The sequence below is a fragment of the Homo sapiens genome, chromosome 16 (assembly GCF_000001405.40).
Source record: "Homo sapiens chromosome 16, GRCh38.p14 Primary Assembly".
Classification (NCBI taxonomy): Eukaryota; Metazoa; Chordata; class Mammalia; order Primates; family Hominidae; genus Homo; species Homo sapiens.
The window spans coordinates 11,242,214-11,249,600 of NC_000016.10; the positions used below are offsets into that span (position 1 = coordinate 11,242,214).

The 7,387-nt window shown below is 47.4% G+C and overlaps 1 pseudogene; it reads left to right on the plus strand.

Annotated features, from left to right (window-relative positions):
• On the plus strand, positions 253 to 1,536 carry HNRNPCP4 (heterogeneous nuclear ribonucleoprotein C pseudogene 4; annotated as a pseudogene).
• Positions 1,537 to 7,387: the final 5,851 nt, after the last annotated feature.

The window sequence follows — 7,387 nt, forward strand, 5'->3', positions numbered from 1 at the left end:
CTACTATAGTGTTGTCTCAGGGAATAATAACCATCACATCTAAGGTTTTATGAGATACATTTTTCCCTAATACACACTGAAATCAACACAACCATTAAGAGAATGTTTGCAGCCAGGTGTGGTGGCTCACCACTGTAATCCTGGCACTTTGGCAGGCTGAGGCAGGTAGATTGCTTGAGCCCAGGAGTTCGAGACCAGCCTGGGCAACATAGGAAGATTCTGTCTCTATTTTTTTTTAAAGGGGGTGGGGGATGAAGAGATGAAGACTGAGCGGTTGTGGCCGCGTTGCCGACCTCAAGCAGTAGTTGGCTTCTCCACGTAGAACCCGGGAGTAGGAGACTCAGAATTGAATCTCTTCTCCCTGCCCGCTCCTGTGAGACTTTTTTGATCTTCAGCTACATTTTCAGCTTTGTGAGAAATCTTATCATCAAACACAACGGCCAGCAATGTTACCAACAAGAGAGATCCTCGCTCCATGAACGCGTGTTCGTTGGGAATCTCAACACTCTTGTGGTCAAGAAATCTGATGTGGAGGCAATCTTTTAGAAGTATGGCAAAATTGTGGGCTGCGCTGTTCTTAAGGGCTTTGTTTTCATTCAGTATGTTAATGAGAGAAATGCCCGGGCCGCTGTAGCAGCAGCAGATGGCAGAATAATCGCTGGCCAGGTTTTACATAGTAACCTGGCTGCAGAGCCAAAAGTGAACCGAGGAAAAGCAGGTATGAAATGATCAGCAGTGGAGACGTACGGGTCAGAAACAGAACACCCTTCTCCATTCCTCTACTCAGCTCCTCTTTTGACTTGGACTATGACTTTCAACGGGATTATGATAGGATGTACAGTTACCCAGCACGTGTACCTCCTCCTCCTCCTATTGCTCGGGCTGTAGTGCCCTTGAAACATCAGCGTGTATCAGGAAACACCTCACAAAGGGGCAAAAGTGGCTTCAATTCTAAGAGTGGACAGCGGGGATCTTCCAAGTCTGGAAAGTTGAAAGGAGATGACCTTCAGGCCATTAAGCAGGAGTTGACCCAGATAAAACAAAAAGTGGATTCTCTCCTGGAAGACCCGGAAAAAATGGAAAAGAAACAGAGCAAACAAGCAGTAGAGATGAAGAATGGTAAGTCAGAAGAGAAGCAGAGCAGCAGCTCACGTGAGACTCATGTGAAGATAGAGTCTGAAGGTGGTGCAGATGACTCTGCTGAGGAGAGGGACCTACTGGATGATGAGGATAATGAAGATTGGGGGATGACCAGCTGGAGTTGATCAAGGATGATGAAAAAGAGGCTGAGGAAGGAGAGGATGACAGAGACAGCACCAATGGTGAAGATGACTCTTAAGCACATGGTGGGGCTTAGAAATCTTCTCCCATTATTTCTTTACCTAGGTGCTTGTCTAAGATCAAATGTTTCACCAGACCCTCTCCTCTAGTGTCTTCAGCACATGCTCACTGTCCTCCTCACCCTTGTCCTTCCCGTATTCATTAATTCATATTACCCTGCGCCTAGTCCCATTTTCACTTCCTTTGACACTCCTAGTAGTTTTGTTAAGTCTTACCCTGTAATTTTTGCTTTTAATTTTGATATCTCTTTATGACTTTAACAGTAAAAAGGATGTATGGTGTTATCAACTGCTTCCAAAATAATATCTTGTCGTGCAGGGAGTACAGTTCTTTTCATTCATACGTAAGTTCAGTAATTGCTTTCCTAACTGCAAAGGCAATCTCATTGAGTTGAGCAGCTCCTGAAAGCAGCTTTGAGTTCGAAGTATGTGTGTTACACCCCTACATTAGTGTGCTGTGTAACAATGCACAATGTAACAAATGTACAAACGTAACGATGTATTTTTGTGAATGAGAGTTGGCATGCATAACAATGAACAATGTACAAATGCAAATGTAACAATGTATTTTTGTGAATGAGAGTTGGCATGTCAAATGTAGCCTCTAGAAAAATAATTAGTGTTATAGTCTGAAGATTTGTTTTCTAGGCCAGGCGCCGTGGCTCACGTCTGTAATCCCAGCACTTTGAGAGGCCAAGGCGGGCGGATCACAAGGTCAGGAGATCGAGACCATCCTGGCTAACACAGTGAAACCCGTCTCTACTAAAAAATACAAAAAAAAAAAAAAAAATCAGCCGGGCATGGTGGCGGGCGCTTGTAGTCCCAGCTACTTGGGAGGCTGAGGCAGGAGAATGGCGTGAACCCAGGAGGCGGAGCTCGCAGTGAGCTGAGATCGTGTCACTGCACTCCAGCCTGGGCAACAGAGCGAGACTCTGTCTCAAAAAAAAAAAAAAAAGATTTGTTTTCTAAAGTTGATACTGTGGGTTATTTTTGTGAACAGCCTGATATTTGGGAACTTTTTTCCTCAAAACAAACAAGTCTTTATTAAACCAGGAATTTGGAGGAAAAAAAAGAAAGAAAATGTTCACCAGTTTTATGCCTGACACATAACGGGGCAGGACACCATACCTGCACTTAGGGAGGGGCTGGGTTAGTGTCTCCTTCACCCCCGTGCCCTGGTTCCTCCTTTCCTCCATTGCATTTTTTTTTTTTTCTCTTTTTGAGATGGAGTCTTGCTCTGACACCCAGGCTGGAGTGCAGTGGTGCAATCTTAACTCACTGCAAACTCCGCCTCCTGGGTTCAAGTGATTCTCCTGCCTCAGCCTCCAGAGTAGATGGGATTACTGGCACACACCACCACACCTGGCTAATTTTTGTATTTTTAGTAGAGACGGGGTTTCGCCATGTTGCCCAGGCTGGTCTCAAACTCCAGACCTAAAGTGATCCACCCGCCTCAGCCTCCCAAAGTGCTGGGATTACAGGTGTGAGCCATCGTGCCCCACCCCATTTACATCCTTGTCTCCATTGCTCCTTGGTTACTTAGCCCATTATCTGCACTCGATGTGGGACTGGTATCTGACCTCTAGATACATTTCTGTTTTGTTTTTTTTTGTTTGTTTTTTGTTTTTTGTTTTCCTAGAGAACTTCCTTTGTACCAGGCATGCTTCTAAGCACTTTATGATGTTCATGCATTTACACCCCCTTCACAGTCCTGGCAAATAGTGACAGTGATAATTCATGCTTAACAAATGGGGAAACTGAGGCACAAAGTGGTTTAATCAGTGATTAAGTAAACTTGCTTATGTTACAGAGGTTAAACTCTCTCAAAGAGAGGTCCCTGCCCTCTTGGCACTCAATCTGTGAGACAGAGCAAACCTCTTGGCAGTCCCTCACGTGGACTTTAGCAGAGGCAGCGGGACCCAGCAGAAAAAGTTAAGGAGAGCTTCCTAGGGGAGATGTTTGCTGAGTTGGGTTTTGAAGGTTGAGTAGGAGTTTGTCAAGTGAAAAGAAAGCAAGGGAAACAGCAAAGGCTTTCCCTGGGGAGCTAGGAAGGCCTAGGGAACCATGAGAAATTGGGGTAAATGGGAGCAGACGAGGAATGTGACAGGAATGAGGTGTGGTTGGAAATGTACATTGAAGCCAGATGGCGGGGGGGCCTCAAGTTTCACGGGAAAGGGGTCATATTTGAATATCTAGCAGTTGAGAGCTGCTGGAACACTGTGGAGTCACCTTGTTTGGTTCAAATACTGCTTCTACTACTTTGACTACCTTGAAATCATGGACAAGAAACATAACCTCTCCTGGCCTCAGTTTCCCTGTCTGTAAAATTAGACAATAATAATACCTAACTGGAATGTGCTAGATAAGGGTGAGCTGATAGTAATTTTTATTTCCAGTGGGAGCTAAGTGTATAACTGGGGGTGTAAGGTGATCAAATTTGCAATTTGGGTAATCATACCCAATTCCCTCCTAATGCCTGCAAAGGGAGCTGGGGCCCACATCTCTGGTCCTCAGTTTCCCCATTGTGAATCCAGTGAAGGGGAGCCTGCTTTAAGGCTTGAGTGTGCCTTCCTCCCCTGCCCCCACACCCCTGCCCAGGCTAGACCTGAGATAGTTTCACTTTGACCCAACTTCTGGCAACTGTGGCCTTTCCTGTCAGAAGGCTGGCTACAAGAGGACTTGGCAAAGGTGAGACAAATGGCAGAAATATGCCCAGGGCTGGGCATGCTGGGGGTTTCATTTTCAACAGTACAAGCTGGGGTCAGAGGCAGGGTCCCCTGACTTAGGATCCAGCCTGCCCTGGGAATATCATCCCTTTAGTTGAGCATGTATGCTGGGCTCCACAGTTTATTATCACTTTTTTATTTTTTATTTTTTTTTGAGACAGGGTCTCACTCTGTCACTCAGGCTGGAGTGCAGTGGCATGACCTTGGCTCACCACAACCTCCACCTTTCACCTTCAAGCGATTCTTGTGCCTCAGCCTCTGGAATAGCTAGGACTACAGGTGAATGCCACCACACCCAGCTAATTTTTTTTTGGGGGGGTGGTGGGTAGAGATGGGTTTTCAACCATGTTGCCCAAGCTGGTCTCAAACTCCTGAGCTCAAGCAATCCTCCTGCCTTGGCCTCCCAAAGTGCTGGGATTACAGGCATAAGCCACCTCGCCGGGCCTATTATCACTTTCTTTTAATCCTTCACACGCTGTGAGCTCTGGGTGCCTATGCCATTTCACAAGTGAGGAAACTGAGGCTCAGCATCAGTGAAGGGGCTACTTGTCAATAACACACAGCTGGCAGTGTTTCTCCAGGCATGGGATGAGTGCCCTGGAGGGTCTCTGGGTGGGGGTTTTAGGTGAAACATGGACATTTTTATAAAACATCGAGGCCCCTCCTCCTCTGTGAAACCATGATTTCATATTTTCATCCTCTTGTAGTCTTTCTGCTTAAGTCAAAAAGAAAGTCTCATATTGGTGCTATTGTGTCATAAACACCTCTCCAATGCTTGCTAATACTCCCCCTTCTCCTTCTCCTTTTTTTTTTTTTTTTTTTTTTCCCGACAGAGTCTCACTCTGTCACCCAGGCTGGAGTGCAATGGCACGATCGTGGCTCACTGCAACCTCTCCCTCCCAGGTTCAAGCAATTCTCCCGCCACAACCTCCCGAATACCTGGGATTACAGGTACCTGCCATCATGCCGGGCTAATTTTTGTATTTTTGTAGAAATGGGGTTTCACCATGTTGGCCAGGGTGGTCTTGAACTCCTGACCTCACGTGATCCACCCACCTCAGCCTCCCAAAGTGCTGGGATTACAGGAGTGAACCACCGCGCCCGGCCTCTCCTTCTTCTTTTTTTCTTTTCTTTTTCTTTCTTTCTTTCTTTCTTTTTCTTTTTTTTTTTTTTTTTGAGACAGAGTCTCGCTCTGTCTCCCATGCTGGAGTGCAGTGGCAATGATCTCGGCTCACTGCAACCTCCACCTCCAAGGTTCAAGTGATTATTCTCCGGCCTCAGCCTCCCAAGTAACTGGGATTACAGGTGTGCGCCACCATGCCCAGCTAATTTTTGTATTTTTAGTAGAGACAGAGTTTCACCATGTTGGCCAGGCTCGTCTCAAACTCCTGACCTCAGGTGATCCGCCCACCTCAGCCTCGCAAAGTGCTGGGATTACAGGCGCAAGCCACTGTGCCCGGCCTCCTTCTTTCTTTTTCTGTCTCTAAACCAAACATGGAGCAGACCTTTTGCTCAGCACACAGCAGTATCTAGCTAGAACTTACAATTTTTGGATTTCATTTCATTGCTTAAGGGTTACCTCTTTGTTGCGGGTGATTCTACCTTCCATCTATGGTAATAAAACATTTCCCTTGAAATAAAATTAACTTAAGGAAATCATGTAACTTAATTTGCAGGAAATATTAATTAAATAACAGAACAGCTGGGGACTTGGACAGATCTGGCAAAAAAAAAAAAAAAAAATACAAGTGAAGCTCCAGTGACTGGTGTGACAGCCTCAGCTTAGAGATGAAAATGAAGGCATGGCTATAAAATTAGGCTGCCCGAGATTCGAATCCATGCCCCCCACCAAGGCTCTGCTACCTACCTGCAGTGTGACCCAAGCCCGTTATTTAACCCTGTGCCCCAGTTTCCTCATCTGCAAAATGAAGGTAGTAATAGTCATACCTGATTCATACAGTTCTTGTGAGGATTAATTGGGATACTACGCATGAATTACTTAGAATCATGCCTAGCGTCTAGCGACATGGGTGAGCTGGCAGTCACCGCTGTTATTAGCAAGAAGCAACCTGAGAATGGGACCAGGTGGGTCTGACTTCATGGCTGTGCTGATTCAAATCCTCTGCACAGCTGCTATGACGCAAAATAATAATTATTATTATAGTTCTGTCTGGGTGCGGTGGCTCATGCCTGTAACCTCAGCACTTTGGAAGGACAAGGTGGGAGAATCACTGAGGCTGGGATTTCGAGACCAGCCTGGGCAACATAGCAGGACCACCGTCTGCAGTAAAAAAATAAAAAATAGCCAGGTGTGGTGTTGCACGCCTGTAGTCCCAGCTACTTGGGACGCTGAGGTAGGAGGATTGCCTGAGCCCAGGATTTTGAGGCTGCAGTGAGCTGTGATTGTGTCCTTGCATTCAGCCTGGGCGACAGTGAGACTGTTTTTCGCTTGTTTTTTTGTTTTGAGGCGGAGTCTTGCTCTGTCACCCAGGCTGGAGTGCAGCAGTGCGATCTCGGCTCACTGCAACCTCCGTCTCCCAGGTTTAAGCGAGTCTCCTGCCTCAGCATCCCTAGTCGCTGGGACTACAGGTCCATGCCACCACGCCCGGCTAATTTTTGTATTTTTAGTAGAGACGGGGTTTCACCATGTTGGCCAGGCTGGTGACGAACTCCTGGTCTCAAGTGATCTGCCCACCTCGGCCTCCCAAAGTGCTGGGATTACAGGCGTGAGCCACCGCGCCTAGTCAATGAGACGGTGTTTCAAACAACAACAACAAACAAACAAACAGCAGCAATGAAAGAATCAAGCAGAGAGGGCTGATTCCAATGACTGGGCACACATCACGTATTAAGCACTTTTCAGGCATCCTCTGATTGAACTTCACCCATGAGGTGGGTAGTTCTTAACCTCATTTCCAGGTAGGAAAAGAGGTTCAAGACCTAAGGTCTATGTGAGGTTGGGTAGGCAGGGATTGCTGTGGACCGGAATGGGGTGGGAGAACACGTTGGTCTCCGACGACTACAGGGCGTGGGAGAGGGCTCGCTATTGTGGCCTTGACCTGGCATGCCCTTGGGACATGCCCTCCCCGGGCCTGGGGTCTTCCAAGAGCCCTGAGATCCCGGCAGGCAGGACGTACCACGAGAACTGGGAACCACGTGAAGGCCAGAAGGGCTGCGGAGCCCGCAGTGCTGCCGAGAGGCCGAGAGGAAGCCGAGGGAAGCCGAGTGTGGCCGAGCCGAGCCAAGTCAAGCCGAGCGTGGCCGAGCCACGCCGAGTGGGCCTGGGGCAGCGGTTGGTGGGGAGAGCGGCGCAATGACGTC